This window comes from Homo sapiens, chromosome 7 (assembly GCF_000001405.40).
Source record: "Homo sapiens chromosome 7, GRCh38.p14 Primary Assembly".
Lineage (NCBI taxonomy): Eukaryota > Metazoa > Chordata > Mammalia > Primates > Hominidae > Homo > Homo sapiens.
Window position 1 is genome coordinate 99,756,967 of NC_000007.14, and position 20,768 is coordinate 99,777,734.

Sequence of the window (20,768 nt, forward strand, 5' to 3'; positions counted from 1 at the left end):
TTGCTCAATCAATTGACCAATCGACTGTTTTTTATTAAGTGTTCATTGCATCGAGACAGTTGGGTGTTGAGGATGGAATGCAAGAGGTGTAGGGAAACATGTTTTCTGTCTCCCAGAAATATGAAAGGAGATGGGCTGAAAACATTAAATCAAAACTAATAATATAATAAGAGCTTCAGTTCTTTGTTACAAAATGTACGTGCTTCAAAAAGGCATATTTTTTTAAGACTGAGTCTCACTCTCACCCAGACTGGAGTGCAGTGGTGCAATCTCAGCTCACTTCAACATCCGCCTCCCAGGTTCAAGTGATTCTCCTGCCTCAGCCTCCTGTGTAGTGAGATTACAGGCGAGTCCACCATGCCTAGCTAATTTGTGTATTTTTAGTAGAGATGGGGTTTCAACCATGTAGGCCAGGCTTGTCTTGAACTCCTGACCTCAGGCGATCCACCCGGCTCAGCCTCCCAAACTGCTAGGATTACAGGCGTGAGCCACTGTGCCTGATCAAAAAAGGCATAATTAAACTATGAATATTCTTTCTAAACAATGGGCAAAGTCACAGTGGATTAACTTTCACCTATGTTAATAATCAAATTCTAGTTCTGACAAAGGCCCCACGCCAACAGTGATTACAATGACCAAAAATATTTACTTGTTGGTTCTCATTCAGTTCTATAGATTTCTCCTTAATGTGCAGGAAAGCATCTGATAATACTTTTGTAAAGTGGTCTTTATTGATTTAACATAAAACTTATAGAATACTCCAGAGAAAACATGTGATATAAATGTCATTGTTAGAGCCATCAAAATAATTCTTATTTTCATTAATAATTTGTGGAGGAAATTATTGAGAAATGTTGATTCTCTTATCAGAGCTCAGGAGGAGTTAATGGTGCTAACTGGGGGTGGTGGAAATAGTCCCGTGAGAAGCAGAGGAGCCAAATCTACCTCCTCACACTGATTTGGTCACCTCCTTTATATTCCCAAGTATAACACTCTACACAGACAATGAGAGAGCTCAATGCATGTACAGAATCCCCGGTTATTTATGCAGTCCATTGGATGAAGCCCATCTTCATTTCAGAGTTCTATTCACAAAGTAATTTGAGGTCTCTGGTGTTCTCAGGCACAGATTTCTTGAAGAGCAAAGCAGAAGTCCTTAGGAAAATTCAGGCTCCACTTACGGTGCCATCCCTTGACTCAACCTTTAGAACAACGGGTTTTTCTGGTTGAAGAAGTCCTCCTAAGCTTAATTTCAGGGGGATCTGCAACAGTTAAACAAGCATATTGAGAAGCATTAAATAAACAAAAGTAGAAAGTATAGCATCAAAGTGAGTGAGACACTCCTTCAGTGTTGAGGGGACACAACAGAGTGATATTCTGATCTCTATGGAGTAATGGGCAAAAAAAATGCAGTAATGACAATAATGCTTTGTAAACATATAAAAACTACTTTCAGCACTATAAATCTTGGATTCTTTATACTTAGTCTATAAGATGTGTGAAGATTGGACAGTGAGAGCATTCATCATCTATCATTTAACAAAATATTTATGGAGTACTATTCTGTGCCAGGCCTGAGACAAATTCATGGAAACCTGTGTTCTTTTTTGATTTAAATTTTAAGTAAAATGGATGAGTTTTTAAAATTTAAACCAGATTATTAGGTATGATGGCAAACTGTTTTTGAAGAGTCATATAAAGTTAATTTTGTGTATGTTGAAACTTGCAAGGTAAACCTGGGTAGTTATTGTACATTTTAATTATATGGACAGTCTTCAACTTCCAGAGTCCAGTAATTCCTCCCAATTGAACCCATCCAGTGTAAAGATGGGAAGACACCTTCAGGAAGCATTACCATTTTATTTTTTAACATCTTCTCTTGGCTTCCAAGGGTAGTGCAAGTGGGGAACCTCTCAATTCCTACAGTGTTTGGACTCAACTTTTAGCCCCATTCTTATTGAGACACTCCTTCCGTGTTGAGGGGACACAACAGAGTGATATTCTGATCTCCATGGAGTAATGGGCAAGAAAATTGCCAGGGAGATCAAGAAGTGCCAGGTTGGGAGCTTACCAAGGAGTACCTTCCCCATCCCAGGTGTGCCAGAGGACCACTTTTATTCAGGGCTGAGTCCCCTGTCTGGGCACATATAATACAGCTACACTGCTGGCCTAAAGCCACAAATAATATGGAATATGGAAATAATATGGAAACTATTTCTGTCTTCTTCCTCTCCTATATAGAAAGCCTACTTAAGGGGTGGAATTGAATAATAAATACATGAGACCTAGAAATAAGATTTATAGGGTATTGTTTAATATGAATCAATGACGTCTGTTCTTTAACTTCTTCAGAGAAAATATTTCAAATCTTTCTATAAATATAATACCTTATTATTTAAAAATTTTCAAAAACCCTGAATATATTTTCACTGCAGACAGACATGCATGCCCACATGTGCACACACACACACACACATGCATATGCACGAATGGCATTTGTTTAAAGGTTCACATTAAATAGCTTAATATATGTATGCAAGCCATCAACTGCACATCACTCCTTAAACATTTACCAAATGCTTGCATTAGATACAGTCCCTTGCAAGGCACCACTGGGATATTTTAAAAAGGAATAAAATGAGAGGATATTGTTAATGGAGGGGGGAAGACATTTTAGATACAAAGAAAATATAGAGAATAAAACTCAATGATTTAATGGCAAATTGTCAAATTTATGATAATAGCCTCCAGTATCCAATAACAGAGCAGAGAAGTAAATGGGCCCTGGACTAGGAGGAGAAGACACTTTGGAGGGGCTTGGGGATTGAACTAGGACTTGAAAGATAAGAACAAAATGAGGAGAAAGGGAACAACATTTTTTTTTTTTTGAGACAGAGTCTCGCTGTCACCCAGGCTGGAGTGCAGTGGCCCAATCTCGGCTCACTGCAGGCTCCGCTCCCTGGGGTTCATGCCATTCTCCTGCCTCAGCCTCCAGAGTAGCTGGGACTACAGGTGCCTGCCACCTCTCCAGGGTAATTTTTTGTATTTTTAGTAGAGACGGGGTTTCACCGTGTTAGCCAGGATGGTCTCGATCTCCTGACCTCATGATCCGCCTGCTTCGGCCTCCCAAAGTGCTGGGATTACAGGCATGAGCCACCATGCCTGGCTGGGAACAACATTAATAGAGTTATAATTGGGTTGAAAAGGAGCCCAGCTGGATGGAGCTAGGCACCTGGAAGGTGAGGTCAGTCAGGATGGCCTTGGACTGTGGTAGTCCTTTATATCCACCAGAAATGCCTTAAATTAGTCATTCTCAACCTTGGCTTCACATGAGAAGCAATGGGGAAGCTTTTAAAGCCACACTCTGGGCAAATTAGTTTAGAATTTCTGTGATATCCCAGACATCATGAATTTTTAAAGCTCCCTGGTGATTCCAATGTACAGCTAGTGGTTGGGAGCCACTCTCATGAGAAAGCTTCTCCAAGTTCTGGTTGGGAAGAGCAGCATTCAAAAGTCACAACAAGGTAATCATTACACTTCATGACTGTGCAAAATACTTCCCCATCTTTCCAATCGACTTGAAACTGAATGTAAACTTTGCTCAAGTTCAAGGAGACTGCAGATAATTATGCCATGCTAATCTACATGGGCTTTACATGATGTTTTTGATGCTACAGCTTTTGAACTCCAGAACTGAAGCACCCTTAAAGATCACAGATGGGCCTAATTGATTCTTTGGCCCAGAGAACAAATTAGTAAAAGATTAAACAAGCATATTCTTTTTAAAAAATACAGACCACTCAGTTAAAAGAATTATTAATACAACATTATTTTTATAGAAAATTGACTAACCTGTGTTTCTTTACAAGGTTTGAAGGAGAAGTTCTGAAGGACTCTGATTAGAGCAAGTTTCATGTTCATGAGAGCAAACCTCATGCCAATGCAGTTTCTGGGTCCACTTCCAAAGGGTGTGTATATGTAAGGATCTATGTTGTCCTTGTTCTTCTTGCTGAATCTGGTTCCACGTTGGTAGATTTTTAAAAAGTTAATGACATAATACCCCTAAGAGTTACATGTTAGGGTTTCTTACTTAGGGGCCACCCCTCAACTAGTAGTACACAGGATACTTTTGTGGGCTGGTCATTGAAATCCTGCTATGCTTATTTTGCTATGAGAATTGTAAGCTACAGATCCTTTCTACTCTCCTGACACTATAGGAGCTTTCAGTCTTGTTGAGATGAGATAAATAGTGTTGCAAAGAATACTTATTTCTAAACACTGAAATTATATTCAGGGTGGTGATGTGTCCACACTATAAAAGGCACATAAGTGATGGGACTGACTGATGGAAAAGTAGGTTCCTGCCTCAAGTCACACTTACATTGGTCATGAGGAAGGAGAAGGGGAAATTGTCTTGTACTATTTCAAAATTGTTATTTTGCACTTTCCTTCTCATCTCCTCTCTTGTTTTTCTAATTCTCCTCCTTCTCCTCCTTACCTTGTCTTCTCCCTCCTTCTCCTCCTTCTTCTTCTCTCCATCTCTCCCTCTTTCTCCCCCACACCTCCATAGAATAGTTGAAGTCAGATAATTTACACAGGCATATGATGCTACTGTACCGATGTAATGCAGTATCATCACTGCTTTCTTTGTCTATCTGTTCCAGTAAGCTATAAAATTCTTTGAAGATTAGATGCATGTTTTTTATTAAAATGTTATTCCTAAATATTTGATTATATTTATGAAAAAAATATTCATTTGGGGGACATAATAATAGCATTGTGATCATGTGTTTTTAAAAGAGTCCTTACATTTTGGACACTGATGACCCATAAGGACATAACTGATGACCTTCATCGTAAGTTGTTGGAATTGTGGATGACTGTAGTTTTCTTTTTTCTAGTCTATGGTTTGTAAAGTGTGACAATAATCAATTTGATGATTAAAAAAATCTCTAAATATAAAAATACAAGCAAATAATTATACAACCACATGACTGTCCTGTAGATTAAGAGAGGCAGAATATGCTTGAACCAGGCTGGTTCAGGGAGGGCTCCCTTCCCAGGGGCCTTGTACCTTTCAGGGAGGAACTTCTCAGGCTCTGTCCAGTACTTTGGGTCACGGTGAAGAGCATAGCTTGGAATCATCACCACCACCCCTTTGGGAATGAACATCCCATTGATCTCAACATCTTTTTTGCAGACCCTCTCAAGTCTCATAGCAATTGGGAATAATCTGAGCGTTTCATTCACCACCATGTCAAGATACTCCATCTGTAGCACAGTATCATAGGTGGGTGGTGCCTGGAAAGAACGAAACAGATTTGGATAAATTGAGATTTTGAATTAACTTTTAACTCAGTCCATGCAGTACTAATGAAGTATTAGGAGCTCCAGAGACTAACTCATACTGGTAAAGGATCGAAGCATTTATAAAGTGTTTTAATAACTGTCATGCCCATTGCTGTGCTCAGTGGCCCACTGAGATGTGTGGAGGAGTTATGAAGGTGGGAAGCATTCGGGAAGGCTCTCACCCCAGGGACTGAAATCCTTAGCATAACCGTGTATATATGTCTATATATATATACACACACACATACACACACACATATATATGTGTATATATATGTGTATACACACACTAAAAGGAGGACTTTTGTTATATACAGAAAATGTGGAGAGAAACACTATATTATATAAAATCTCCATAAATAATTTGAGGATAAACTAGTCCCTTTCTATCCCAAAAATGACAAAGAAGGTTCTGGTTGGATGTAACCAGAGAACACGATTTCAGTGCTAGTGGAAGTTATAAAGAGGATAGAACCCCACACAGCCCTGTCCTCACTTGCTGAAACAGTCTCCTAGTTGTTGCTTCAGGGCTGGACTGTAATCTCTGAAGAACATCCCTTTGTGTTCACCTCACTGCCACAGCCGGGCCAGCCCCAAAGCCGTGTCTCTTCATACCACAAAGAATCCCAATTTTGGCAGAGGTCTGAAAACAGTGTGGGTGATATGCACCTAGTATTTGGTGTTATATTTGGAAGGCAATATGATAGTGTTTTAAGACTTTAGCTCAGGAGCCAGATATCCTGGTTCCTAGCTTGGCTTCTTCACCAGTTACTGCCTGACTGGAACATGAGATAGGTGTGGGGAGAGCTGAGTCAGCCTGCACAGCACACCCAGGGCCAGGCTCCGTCAGACTACAGCCAGACCAGAGCAAGTCCTGCCAATATCAGCAGAGCTCACTATCCAACTATGATGTGTGGAGGAGTTATGAAGTGGGGAGACATTCGAGACGGCTCTCACCCCAGGGACTGAAATCCTTAGCATAACCGTGTACTGGTTTTTCTTTCTCATTGAAACAAATGTGACTAATAGGCTATGACCACTAGCATCAAATAACATATGAGAAAGTGATTGTTACCTTTCAAAAAAAAAAGTCACATGTCTGTAACCAAGAAAATAAAAAGAGATAAAAAGAGCAAATTCCTGTGTCCATATGTGGATACAGCTAAGGGGACATCACACACCACTATGGTGCCTGCTGCAAACATGTAATTCACAACCAAAACCAATGTGAAATGAGTGTGAGCAACAAATGCTTATTGTTAGATGCCACTGAGGTTTTTGGAGGTTTTTTACTTAGCATTATTGTAGTAATAGAAAGCAGATGAACCAGAGCCAGCACGTTTTACAAAGATCTTACGCTTCTGCCAGTAGCAACCATTTGCTATGTTTCTTTCTTTTTCTTTTCAGAGCCTTCCTACATAGAGTCAGTGAAAGAATCAGTGATTATGCTTTTTATAAAAATTCTCCTGGGAAGTGGTGAGGAGGCATTTTTGCTAAGGTTTCACCTCCTCCCTCCTTCTCCATGTACCATCCACTCACCTTATTGGGTAAAACTGCATCAATTTCCTCCTGCAGTTTCTGCTGGACATCAGGGTGAGTGGCCAGTTCATACATAATGAAGGAGAGAACACTGCTCGTGGTTTCATAGCCAGCAAAAATAAAGATAATTGATTGGGCCACGAGCTCCAGATCGGACAGAGCTGAAAGGAGAGGAAAGACATTTTAGGTAAATCAGATCAATGTAGGGCATCACAGTTTAGATGAAGAGAAATCTAAGTGAAGCCCTCAAATCCCTAAGGGAAAAGAATAGAAAAGCAATTCAGAGGTACACTGGGGGTGGTTTCATTCTGATGTGTATCTTACAGAACCAGAATAAGGCAAATCATTTTAATCCAGTTTTCCCCAAGGTCTTCGAGAATGTGGGCCATCCACTCCTCCTCATGCCACCCCCGCCACCTGCACAGCTGTGTAATTTCCAGAGAGAGCATTTCCGCATAACATACTCAGTGTTATGGGTGTGTTCCTTGAATGATCCTAAAAGTACTTTATTGTAAGTTAATATGAGGTAGTACTCTCCCCCAAGAAAAATGTAATTTATTTTAGCTACAATATATCTTGACAAACTTTGAGAGAATTTGCAACACTAATGGTTAAATGTAGGGAAAATCAAAGGACGTTTCCCGAAGATATGTTTGAGGGAACTTAAGGGACCAATATTGGTCTACAGACCACTTCTTGGTATTCAAAGTGTGGTCCATGGGTCAGAAGCATCTGAGAGCTCATTAGAAATGCAAAATCTCAAACCCCACCCTTGAACTACTGATTCAAAATCTGAACTTTCACAAGATGCAGTGATTTGTGTGCATAGCCTAGCTTGAGAAGCACGGATTATATCTTTGAGAGGCATCAGGTGATAGATCTAGGCTACAGTTCTCAGAATTGACTATCTCAGGATGTACAAGAATGAGAGATGGACAAAAAGCTAGATGAGTGGTAATTGATTGTAGTCTGATGGATGGCATTAAAATAGCATAAGCTCCTATGATTACAAGTTGGGCCCCTCTTGATTTTTCTCCTGAGAGAAGCTCAGGATGGTCCATCACTGGTCTGTTTGATCAGGACTGGATTAGGACCTTTAGAGACCTGGAACATAGAAATAAATATAATGCCTGCTCCAACCATGTAATTCACAACCAAAACCAATATGAAAGGAGTGTGAGAAAGGTCGACAGAGCTGTGATTTACCAGTGAAGACTTCTGTGATGCAGTTATAAGTAAATTCAACTACCTAATCATAGTATTCAGTTATCATGAACCTGATGATACTGATGTGAAATTGAACTATAATCTCAAAGTTTAGAGCTCTGCTGTCCAATATGGTAGCCACTACCCACTAGTGGCTATTTAAAATCAAATTTTATTAAATTAAACTGAAATACCATTTAAAATTGATCTTCAATGGCACTAGCCACATATCCAGTGCTCAATAGCCATATGTGTCTAGTGATTTCTATATGAAACAGTAAAACAATAGACTATTTCCTTTATCACAGCAAGTTATATTGGGATAGATAGATGAATAGTTAGATGATAGATAGATAATATATAAGTAGATAGATGATAGATGGATAAATGATAGATGATAGATGGATAGATGATAGATAGATAGATGATAGATAGATAGATAGATACATAGCTAGATAGATACATAGATAGATACATAGACATACAGACAAAAGTGGATGTAGACATGGATATATTTAAAGCAGTATGCTGGAGTAAGCCCAGTCCTGCTCTCTAGAACCAATAGTTAAATATTCAGGAATTTTGTGAGATGGTTGCCAAGTCTTGGTGGCTTGTAATTGACCATGGTCATCATTTTGCCACTGTCATAGTAATAGTGACTTCAGTAAAAAACATACATGGGTTGTAAAACTCGTAGGTGAAACATTGAAGACAAAGAGGATATTTACACGGTCTCAGAGGTTTTCCCCACAAGTTACTAATCCATTCCAAAGTGGAAAATAACTTTGCAGTAGATTAACCTGGTGAACACACTTTCAACAAGTACTGCCAGTTAAAATCACCCCTTTTGGAACAGCGTGGCTCCTGATTGGATGTTAGATGTATTAGGTAGCTGCAAAAGTTATTGTGGTTTTTGCCATTACTTTTAATTGCATTTTTTTGCAATTAAAAGTAATGGAAAAACCCACAATTAATTTTGCAGCAACCTAATAAATTTCTAGGCAGAAATTTTTATTCAGTGGATCTGAAGGAGGCTGAGAATTGGCATTTGATCTGATGTAGGTGATCCACAGACCGCAGACTGACTTTCTAGCATGCCAGGTTTGCTTAGGGTTGCCCTTTACTCTTAGAACATGGCTATCTATGCCTGCATGCCTCTAGAAAGTGCCTCCAACTACCACTTATAACATTCAAACATGTGTCGTTCTGCTATGTGGCAGAAATTCTCATCATCCTGGAATACTTCCTGCACATTTTCAGAACAAGGCCTTCCCTCTGAGTGCCCCACAAGTAGCCCTCAGAAACACTCTGGTTACCTTTGTGGGACTCAGTTTCTTTTGAATTCTGAGAGTCAATCATCAGCTGAAGGAAATCCACTCGGTGCTAGAAGCAAAAAGAGAAATTTCACTGACAGAAAGTGGCTCCTGAAGTCAGAAGTAAATCACAAGCGTGGTCCTTGATCTCCCTTCTGAGAATATGGCTCCTTGAAGACCAGAAATCTGATGCATGTTGCCTGAATCACCAGTGAAAAACATACCCTTCTAAATCCTTGGAAAGCAGGATGTTTTCCTGAAACAAATCTGGCTATCATGTGAGATGGCTCAAATTTAACACACGCTACACTTCAGCAGGTGGCCTGATAGGGACTTTCATTTGAGAATGTGTAAAATAACAGGTTTGTACTTGAAATGAGTCTTTACCAATTTATGATCTGGGGAAAGCATAATATCAGTAAAATATATTTCCAAACAGTAATGTTTATCCTCTGACAATTTATTGAAGGGAAGTAAAGTGGTAAAGTTTTATCTCAATAAAATTTATGCCGTGGCATACTAATTGTTGTGTCTGATATCAAATTTCATGTGCTGTCTCTGACTCATTCTCATATCTCCTTCCCCAAACCCCACTTTCTGCATTTCTACCAAATGAATTCTCTTGCTCTAAACATGAGCAGTCTTCATGTTAAAAGCATTCTTTAAAAACATACAGGTAACTGCACTGATCATATGTATATTATCTAAAAAATTATGAAAAACTAAACATCCTCCTATAACTACCACCACATTTTACCTTTTGTGTATCTTCGAGGCGACTTTCTTTCATCCTTTTTACAGATTTTCTTAAAAAATTTGTAACTTCTCTTGGAAACACACAGATATTTAATACTTCAAGAATTGGGATGAGGAATGGAAAGACTGCTGTAGGAAAAACAAAACAAAAACAGAAAAAGAAATTCATTGTGAATGTGCAAAATTTACCTGGAGCAATTCTAGTTTTCTCTACCAACCAGAAGAGTAAAAGACATCAAGGTTCTCAACTGGAAGCCATTCCTTCTATGACTTTTGCCCCTCTTTCAGGCCAGTGGCTGAGCAAGGGCAGGTCTATGCATAAGGAGCACCGCTACAGCAGTGAGATCAGCAGCCCCTTGTGCATCTTTTGAAGGATAAAAGGAACAAAATTCAATGCCCTAATCTCTTTGCCTTTATCTATTGGACTACAGTCTCCTAGAATAACCCAAATCATAATCTGAAGCTCAAAATTAATCTTGCTGTTCAAGAAATAGTAGGTAGTCAAGATAGAAATAACACAGCATATCTCTGTCACCTATCATGGAATAAAGATAAAATCAATAAGGGAAAGAAAATTGAGAAACTCACACATATGTGGAAGTTAAATAATAAACATTTAAGTAACCAATGAGTCAAAGTAGAAACCAAAAGGGCAAATAGAAACTGTTTTGAGGTGAACAAAAACTAAGATGTGATAGACCACAATCTCATGGGATTTAGCAAAGGAAGTGCTCAGAGGGAAAGTTACAGCTGTAATGTCTAAATTTAGAGGAACAAAAAAATCACAAATCAGTAATCTATGTTCATGCCACAACATAGTAAACGAAGAAGGGCAAACTAAGCCTGAAGCCAGCAGAAGAAAGAAAATGATACAGACTAAAGTACAAATTCATGAACTAGAGAATAAAAAACCCTGATGAATTAATATCATTTCTATGAAGTGTCCAGAATAGGCAAATCCATAGAAGCAGAAAGTTGATTAGTGGTTGCATATGATGACAGGGTTTGTGACAGGGGGCTGATAGCTAAAAATGTATGAGGTCTCTAGATTGACAAAAAAAGTTTTAAAGTTTAAAATGATGATGGTCACACATATCTTCAAATGTACTACAAATCACTGAACTGTATATTTTAAGTGGATGAATTACATGGTGATTTATATCTCAATAAAGCAGTTATTTTTAAGAGAGCAAGATAAATAAAAGGAAATAGTAGTCCACATACTTATTGAGAGAAAGAATGGATCCAAAAAATCAAATCTTAAAAGCTTCTTGGTGTTTTCCACAAAGGGGTCTTGTGGATTGTTGAGAGAGTCGATGTTCACTCCAAATGATGTGCTAGTGATCACATCCATGCTGTAGGCCCCAAAGACGCTGAGTGGAGAAAGATGTGGAAAATTAAAATCAGCACCTTTTTACCATCCTTCCTCTATGCATGCAACAGGAAACCCACATGTCCAGTCAAGACAGACAAACAGCCACAGACTTTCAGATCTACTAGATCACCTTCTATCACACTCCATCAGAAGGTGTTATCAGGTGCCAGTGATGCAGCTGGCCCTACGCTGGGTGTGATGGAGACACTGAACTGAATTAGACCTACCTCTGAGATCAAGGAGCCCATCATAGGAAGACAGAGACCCACTATCAGACAACTACAGTAGCATGTATTGATTGTGGATGATACAAGATGGGTAAGCACTGTGCTTCAGCAGAACAAGAGTAGAATAATTAACTCTTCCTAAGGGGCTCAAGACAGGTGATATTGCCTGACTGCAGACTCTATGCCCAGAGCCGATTCCTCTTCAGCACTTTACAAAGCAACAGTACCCTGTTCTGAGCTCCTAGAAATATCATCCTTATTCTCTATACTCCCTGCTCAAGCTTTGGAAAATTCCACTATCCCCAGCTGTGGTGAGCTGAGGTTGCCCTGACAGCAGAATTATTTTTGTAAAATATAATGACCAATAATGTCCTGGTTAAAAAAAAATCTCTCAAAATTTGATTTGGAAATTTCTATAGTGAGTGACCACATATCCCTGGTCTGCCCAGGACAAACTCAGATTACACCTGTTTTTACTGCATAAGTGTAGATAGCAAATAATAGGCTTGCCCTACCTATAGTGTTTTTACCACCCTCTCTCTTTGAGACTGGAGGAAAAAGAAATGGTAGGAATTTTAATATTTAGTATTCTACTGATATCCTCAGAAAAAAACATGAAATGATCAAAGTTATTCTAAGTTCTCCATTATAACTCTCCCAACCTACTCACTGCCAACCAACAGATACCAAGTGCCTTCCCCTTCCACCATCCCATACACTCCATGCTTAAAACTTTGGTACAATCACACTTTTTCCCCCTAAAGGATATATTTAGTCTTCTAGAATATCCAAGGTGACAATTTAATGGATATGTAAACCCTGGCCCCTGTGCACAGGGGAGAAGATCCTTTTCCTCCAGCTGCCCCACCTCCTCATCGGAGCTGCCCCATCTTGGGAGACCCATTGAAGTTGCATTACCACAGCCCTCCTTTTGTCTGGTCACTGGAATAACCCAACAGCAGGAATATCAGCTCCATGGCAGGCAGCTGGAGGGGTTCATGACAGCTCAGAACCCCATGGCTGCGCTTCTACTTACTCTTTCAAGGTGACAGGCTTGCCTGTCTCTGCTTCCCGCCTCAGATTTCTCACCAACACATCTCCATACTGGGCAATGATAGGGACCATCTAAGCACAAAACACAACACCACCCATAGTTAAATGTGCAGACTCTAGTCCCAGAAGGACATGGCTTTCCCCAGCATGGAGCAGTAAGTGACATTTTATAATGAATTTTGTGATGTGTTTTCTGTACATAAAGATAAAAGACCATTTTTAGGCAGCTCAAATTCAGTGGACTACCCCTTGGAAAGGGACTGTGATCTTATTTTATACCTGTCCCCACCAGATTCATTCTTTAAGTTTCTTATTAAAACTCATGTTATTTTCATACCTCCTTGAGTTTTCCACTGGTGAAGGTTGGAGACAGCAATGATCGTAATCTCTTCCATTCTTCATCCTCAGCTATAGAGATGGCACTTTTCATAAATCCCACTGGACCAAAAGGCTAGAGTTCAAAGCAGAAACATTTTGTCCTACATCAGTTGTGGAGGTCTCCATGGTTGTAGAAAATGTGTTAAACAGGAACACTTATTCAACAACTATTTAGTGACTGTCTACTGGGTGATGGGCCCTATGCTAGATGCTCAATAGAGATTTATCCCAGATGCCCAGTGTCCTGGGATGTATTTGTGTGGGGCGGGGCGGGGGGGTGGCGGCAGTGTTCAGGAGACCCTGATGTCGTCTCCAGCCTCTATATCCCAGTCTTCTTTTACATGCAAATTATCCACGTGGTAGAGAATGTGTTCTTCCAGTACAATAAACAGAATCAAGACCTAGCACTTCTGCAGTGTAGAGACGGAGTGGAGACAGACAAGCAGGTGACTTTGGTGGATTGTATGTTGCCTCAGACAAGCTGTCTTTATGTTCTCCTGCAGCATGGGCAACGTGAAAAAGAAGTGCCTCAATGTGATGGTTTTAAAAAAAATAGTAGGTAATACCTTTAAAACTAGGAACATATTTTGAAGAAATAATGCAATTCCATAAACATTCTTGTCTCTTAATTTTTTATTTCATGGATAGAAAGAAAAAAGAGATAATTATTTTTGCCAACTTGGAACTGGCCTATCAAGCCAACATGCTTGAAACTTTCTTTCATCTTCCATAGCCATTTTTTTTATAATGAGTACTTCCAGCATTCATTTATGATAAAAACTCAGCAAACTAGGGAGAGAAAATTCCTCAATTTGATAAAGAGAATCTACAAAAAAACAGCCCACTTCATCTAAATGATGCTTAATGATGAAAGAACTGAAGGCTTCCCTCCTAAGATTAGGAACAATTCAAAAATTCACCACATTTACTCAACATTATACTGGGAAGTCCTAGTGCAATAGACAAAAGAAAAGAAATAAAAGGCATACAGATTGGAAAGGAAATAAAAGAATTGTCTCTATTTTCAAGTGACATAACTGACAATGTGTAAAATCTCAAGGCATATACAAAGAGACTTCTAGAACTACTATGTCAGTTCTGCAAGGTTCTAGGATACCAGATCAACACACAAAATCAAAGCACATTTCTATGTAACAACAATCAATATCTGAAAATACAAGAAAAACATAATATCATTTACAGTCATTCCAACAAAAATGAAATAATTTAGCTGTAAATCTAACAAAACATGTACAGGATCTCTATGCTGAAAACTACAAGATGTTAAAAGCAATCAAAGAAAATCTAAGGAAATGGAGAGGCATACTATGTTCATGAATTGAAAGATCAAACAGTAAAGATACACATTTTCCATAAACTGGTCTATATATTTAATTCAATTCTTGTCAAAATAACAGCACGTTTATTTGTAGACACTGAGAAACTCATTCTGAATTTTTATGGAAAAGCAGAGGACCAGGAAGAGTTAAAACAAATCTGAAAAAATAAGTCAATAAAAGTGGGAAGAATCACTCTACACGAGGTTAAGAGTTAGTGTACAGCTACTAGGGTCAACACAGTGTGGTATTGGTGGAATAATAAACACAGTGATCAATGGGACACAGTAGTACGTGAGAGATGCAAAGAAGTATGCCCAGTTGATTTTTAACAATATACCCATCTTTCCAAAAATGGCGTTGGAGGAATTGGACAGCCATAAGCCACAAAAAAAATGAACCTTGATCTAAATCTCATACCTTATACAAAAAATAACACAAAATTGATAATAGAGCTACATTTAGTAAAGCATTAAACTTTATGACTTTTAGAAAAAAACAGCAATATAGGAAGGAGGGCTAGGCAAAGAACTTTCAAACATGGCACCAAAAGTACAATCCAGAAAAGGAAATATTAATACATTGATCACCTCAAAATAAAAAATAGTTTGCTCTGATATGGACCCTGTCAGAGAAAAAGACTTGTGACTGTAGGATAGCAGGAGGGAGCCACATGGAGACAGAGTGGATCTGCATCTTGATCATGCTGGTCATTGCACAAATCTACTAATGATGTGATAAATTTGTATAGAACACAAATGGGTTCTGCGTTTTGATCATGCTGGTCATTGCACAAATCTATGATTGTGATAAATTTGCATAGAACAGAAATGAGGGCACATAAAGCTGGTGAAATCTGAATAAGCTCTGTGAACTGTATCAATGTCAATTTCCTGTACTATATAGTAACATGAATATACTGTATTTATAGTTATGCAAGATTGCAAGATGTTACCATTCGGGGGGGACAGGATGAAGTGGACGTGGAACCTTCCTGGACATTTTTTAGGCAACTGTCTATGAATATATAAGAATTTCAAAATATAAATTTAATCAATCAGTATTTTAATTTCAACACATGAATGCTTACCCTCCGGTTTGTGAAGACAGAATAACATTCTTTCACTAGCACTGTTTTGATCATGTCAGGATCTGTGATAGCCAGCACAGGCTGTTGACCATCATAAAAGCTGTGTGAAAAAAACAGAGTTGATTAAACATCAACAGCCTTATTCTACAGCTGGAGCCCAACCCAGGAAGCCAGACTTTGATCCTGACTTTACATAATCCCTTAGTTGTACAATACACAGTAATCTTAGGTTCTAGTTCATTAGGTATGACACACAGCAAGAGTCTGACACAGGAGCCACTCAAGTCTTCATATGATGAAGGATAATGTGGGCCAAACAAGGAAGAGACATTGAAAGACAAAAGAGCTCTTCAAAGAGACCATGGTTAGAAATGACAGTAGAGCATTTGTTAAGCTGGGTGGTGCATACGTGGATATTTCCCATGCCATTCTCCATAATGTTTCATATGTTTAAAATATTTTATTTTAAAAAGAATATTAAACCAACAAAGATCAAAAGAGACAAAGATGGGCATTACATAATGGTGATGGGATCAATACAACAGGAAGAGCTAAATATCCTAAATATATATGCACCCAAATACAGGAGCACCCAGATTCATAAAGCAAGTTCTTAGAGACCTACAAAGAGACTAAGATTTCCACACAATAATAATGGGAGATTTTAACACCCCACTGTCAATATTAGACAGATCAACAAGACAGAAAATTAACAAGGATATTCAGAACTTGAACTCAGCTCTGGACCAAGAGGACCTAATAGACATCTACAGAAATCTCCACCCCAAATTAACAGAATATACATTCTTCTCAGCACCACATCGCACTTATTCTAAAATTGACCACATAATTGGAAGTAATATACTCCTCAGCAAATGTAAAAGAAAAGAAATCACAACAAACTGTCTCTCAGACCACAGTGAAATCAAATTACAACTCATGATTAAGAAAGTGACTCAAAATCACACAACTACATGGAAACTGAACAACTTGCTCCTGAATGACTACTGGGTAAATAAGGAAGTGAAGGCAGAAATAAAGATGTTCTATGAAACCAATGAGAACAAAGGCACAATGTACCAGAATCTCTGGGACACATTTAAAGCAGTGTGTAGAGGGAAATTTATAGCATTAAATGCCCACTAGAGAAAGCAGGAAAGATCTAAAATTGACACAGTAACATCACAATTAACAGAACTAGAGAAGCAAGAGTAAACAAATTCAAAAGCTAGCAGGAGACAAGAAATAACTAAGATCAGAGCAGAACAGAAGGAGATAGAGACACAACAAACCCTTCAAAAAATCAGTGAATCCAGGAGCTGGTTTTTTGAAAAAGGTCAACAAAATAGATAGACTGCTAGCAAGACTAATAAAGAAAAAAGAAGAATCAAATAGATGCAATAAATAATGATAAAAAGGATATCACCACTGATCCCACAGAAATGCAAATTACCATCAGAGAATACTATAAACACCTCTATGCAAATAAACTAGAAAATCTAGAAGAAATAGATAAATTCCTGGACACATGCCCCCTCCCAAGACTAAACCAGGAAGAAGTTGAATCTCTGAATAGACCAATAATAGGTTTTGAATTGAGGCAATTATTAATAGGCTACCAACCAAAAAAAGTCCAGGACCAAATGGATTCACAGCTGAATTCTACCAGAGATACAAAGAGGAGCTGTTATCATTCCTTCTGAAATTTTTCTGAACAATAGAAAAGGAGGGAATCCTCCCTAACTCATTTTATGAGGCCAGTATCTCCTGATACCAAAGCCTGACAGAGACACAACAAAAAAAGAGAATTTTAGTCCAATATCCCTAAAGAATATCGATGCGAAAATCCTCAATAAAATACTGGCAAATCAAATCCAGCAAAACATCAAAAAGCTTATCCACCAGGATCAAGTCAGCGTCATCCCTGGGATGCAAGGCTGGGTTCAAAATACCAAATCAATAAATGTAATCCATCACATAAACAGAACCAATGACAAAAACCACATAATTACCTCAATAGATGCAGAAAAGGCCTTTGACAAAATTCAACAGCCTTTCATGCTAAAAACTCTGAATAAACTAGGTATCAATGGAACGTATCTCAAAATAGTAAGAGCTATTTATGACAAACCCACAGCCAATATCATACTGAATGGGCAAAAACTAGAAGCATTCCCTTTGAAAACCGGCACAAGACAAGGATGTCCTCTCTCACCACTCCTATTCAACATAGTGTCGGAAGTTCTGAATAGGGCAATCAGGCAAGAGAAAGAAATGGATATTCAATTAGGAAAAGAGGAAGTCAAATTGTCTCTGTTTGCAGATGACATGATTGTATATTTAGGAAACCCCATCGTCTCAGCCCCAAAACTCCTTAAGCTGATAAGCAACTTCAGGAAAGTCTCAGGATACAAAATCAATTTACAAAAATCACAAGCATTCCTACACACCAATAATAGACAAACAGAGAGCCAAATCATGAGTGAACTCCCATTCACAATTACTACAAAGAGAATAAAATATCTAGGAATCCAGCTTACAAGGGATGTGAAGTTCTCCTCTTCAAGGAGAACTACAAACCGCTGCTCAATGAAATAAAAGAGGACACAAACAAATGGAAGAACATTCCATGCTCATGGGTAGGAAGACTCCATATCATGAAAATGGCCATACTGCCCAAGGTAATTTATAGATTCAATGCTATTTCCATCAAGCTACCACTGACTTTCCTCATAGAATTGGAAAAAACTACTTTAAAGTTCATATGGAACCAAAAAAGAGCCCACATAGACAAGACAATCCTAAGCAAAAAGAACAAAACTGGAGGCATCACGCTACCTGACTTCAAATTATACTAAAAGGCTACAGTAACCAAAACAGCATGGTACAGGTACCAAAACAGAAATATAGATCAATGGAACAGAACAGAGGCCTCAGAAATAACACCATGCATCTACTACCATCTGATGTTTGACAAACCTGACACACAAAAGCAATGGGGAAAAGATTTCCTATTTAATAAATGGTGTTGGTGAAACTGCCTAGCCATATGCAGAAAATTGAAACTGGACCCCTTCCTTACACCTTATACAAAAATTAACTCAAGATGGATTAAAGACTTAAATGTAAGACCTAGGACCATAAAAATCCTAGAAGAAAACCTGGGCAATACCATTCAGGACACAGGCATGGGCAAAGGCTTCATAAATATAACACCAAAAGCAATGGCAACAAAAGCCAAAATTGACAAATGGGATATGATTAAACTAAAGAGCTTCTACACAGCAAAAGAAACTATCATCAGAGCAAACAGGCAACCTACAGAATGGGAGAAAATTTTTGCAATCTATCCATCTGACGAAGGGCTAACATCCAGAATCTACAAAGAACTTAAACAAATTTACAAGAAAAAAAGCAAACAACCCCATCAAAAAATGGGCAAAGGATATGAACAGACACTTCTCAAAAGAAGACATCTATGCAGCCAACAGACATGTGAAAAAATGCTCATCATCACTGGTCATTAGAGAAATGCAAATCAAAACCACAATGAGATACCATCTCATGCCAGGTAGTATGGTGATCATTAAAAAGTCAGGAAACAACAGATGCTGGAGAGGATGTGGAGAAATAGGAACACTTTTACACTGTTGGTGGGAGTGTAAATTAGTTCAACCATTGTGGAAGACAGTGTGGTGATTCCTCAAGGATCTAGAACTAGAAATACCATTTGACCCAGCAATCCCATTACTGGGCATATACCCAAAGCATAAATCATTCTATGATAAAGACACATGCACACATATGTTTATTGCAGAACTATTCACAATACCAAAGACTTGGAACCAACCCAAATGTCCATCAGTGACAGACTGGATAAAGAAAATGTGCCACGTATACCCCATGGAATACTATGCAGCCATAAAAAAACAATGAGTTCATGTCCTTTGCAGGGACAAGGATGAAGCTGGAAACCATCATTCTCAGCAAACTATCACAAGATCAGAAAACTCAACACCACATGTTCTCACTCCTAAGTAGGAGTTGAACAATGAGAACACATGGACACGGGGAGGGAAACATCACACACTGGGGCCTGTTGTTGGGTGGGGGGCTAGGGGAGAGATAGCATTAGGAGAAATACCTAATGTAGGTGACAGGTTGATGGGTGCAGCAAACCACCATGGCACGTGTATACCTATGTAACAAAACTACACATTCTATGCATGTAACCCAGAACTTAAAGTATAATTTAAAAAACTAAAAATAAAAAATAAAATAAAATCACAGTCCATCAGCCCGCCAGTGGTTAAGAATATTCAGCATTTCTTCAAATTCAGCAGGAAGGTATAGACAAAGAAATGCTTATATACCCTTCTATTAAAAAGTCTTGGCTTAAATTTAATAACAAAACAGAATGAAAAGTTCCACACTTGCAGATAAAATTAAAAAACAACAACAGCAGAGTATAAATGGTTTGCCAATCTATTTCTCTATTATCTCTCAACCCTTCATTCAAAAGCACTTTAAATCCAAAGTCTAAATGAAAGAGTTTTGGCTTTTAATTGAAAGTGAATTGATGTGGGAAGGAGATGATATGATGTATTTATGAGCACATATTAGAAGGGTCTGAGACAACACATGTAATAAAAGGGCACCTAAGGAAAAAAAAAAAGAAGAGGGGAATAGGCAGACACTGGACAGAGCATGATGCTGTGAGTCCCTGGGCCACCAAAGTCTGGAGAAAAGTAATCACAATGCTCCCAGCCTAGTTCAGACTGTAGAACTTGACACCTGGTGACACATGGGATCCTTGGTAGGACAACCTTCGAAAAGTTTTACAATAACCAGTGTGAATGTTGTTAGAACCAAAATGATGTCACTAGTTGTGTGTGTGTGTGTGTGTGTGTGTGTGTGTGTGTGTGTGTGTAAAAACCCTGACAAATAAATCAAAGAAGGCTATGAAGAGAGGATTCTCATGCTTGTGTGCCTGATAACAAAACTATCACAAAAGACTCCGCAAAACTACAAGCTTGCACAAAGGCCATCCCAACATTAAAAAAAATATTTCTGCAAGGACACCTGCCCAGCAACTGCCTGTCCAACCTTGGTGAGGCGTCACCCTTGTTACTGATCTTTGTAGCG

At 38.6% G+C, this 20,768-nt stretch overlaps 1 protein-coding gene and 1 long non-coding RNA gene across 3 annotated transcripts in view, besides 2 other annotated features; one reads left to right on the forward strand and one right to left on the reverse strand.

Annotated features, from left to right (window-relative positions):
• The window catches only part of CYP3A4 (cytochrome P450 family 3 subfamily A member 4), a 27,218-nt gene continuing 6,450 nt past the window's right edge, over positions 1–20,768 (reverse strand). Inside the window, exons 4-13 of one of the 2 annotated variants that reach the window (NM_001202855.3) lie at positions 15,624–15,723; positions 13,156–13,269; positions 12,802–12,890; positions 11,388–11,536; positions 10,165–10,289; positions 9,411–9,477; positions 6,889–7,049; positions 5,075–5,301; positions 3,853–4,015; positions 1–1,262 (exon numbers count right to left, since the gene is read on the reverse strand). In NM_001202855.3, the coding sequence (NP_001189784.1) occupies positions 1,167–1,262; positions 3,853–4,015; positions 5,075–5,301; positions 6,889–7,049; positions 9,411–9,477; positions 10,165–10,289; positions 11,388–11,536; positions 12,802–12,890; positions 13,156–13,269; positions 15,624–15,723 (1,291 nt within the window). In that variant the 3' untranslated portion in view covers positions 1–1,166. Of the gene's footprint in view, positions 1,263–3,852; positions 4,016–5,074; positions 5,302–6,888; positions 7,050–9,410; positions 9,478–10,164; positions 10,293–11,387; positions 11,537–12,801; positions 12,891–13,155; positions 13,270–15,623; positions 15,724–20,768 lie in introns of both variants that reach the window. The other variant, NM_017460.6, reaches the window with a different exon arrangement.
• Positions 6,665–6,945: an enhancer, noted in NCBI's record as "intron 10 fragment containing CYP3A4*1G SNP (rs2242480)". NCBI's record gives the evidence for it as "EXISTENCE:reporter gene assay evidence [ECO:0000049][PMID:21199372, PMID:25997547]".
• Positions 6,803–6,888: a conserved region, noted in NCBI's record as "conserved region; intron 10". NCBI's record gives the evidence for it as "COORDINATES:sequence alignment evidence [ECO:0000200][PMID:25997547]".
• CYP3A4-AS1 (CYP3A4 antisense RNA 1) lies at positions 6,966–9,930 on the forward strand. Its single transcript, NR_198962.1, has one exon. It is a non-coding gene; the product is annotated as a CYP3A4 antisense RNA 1 (long non-coding RNA).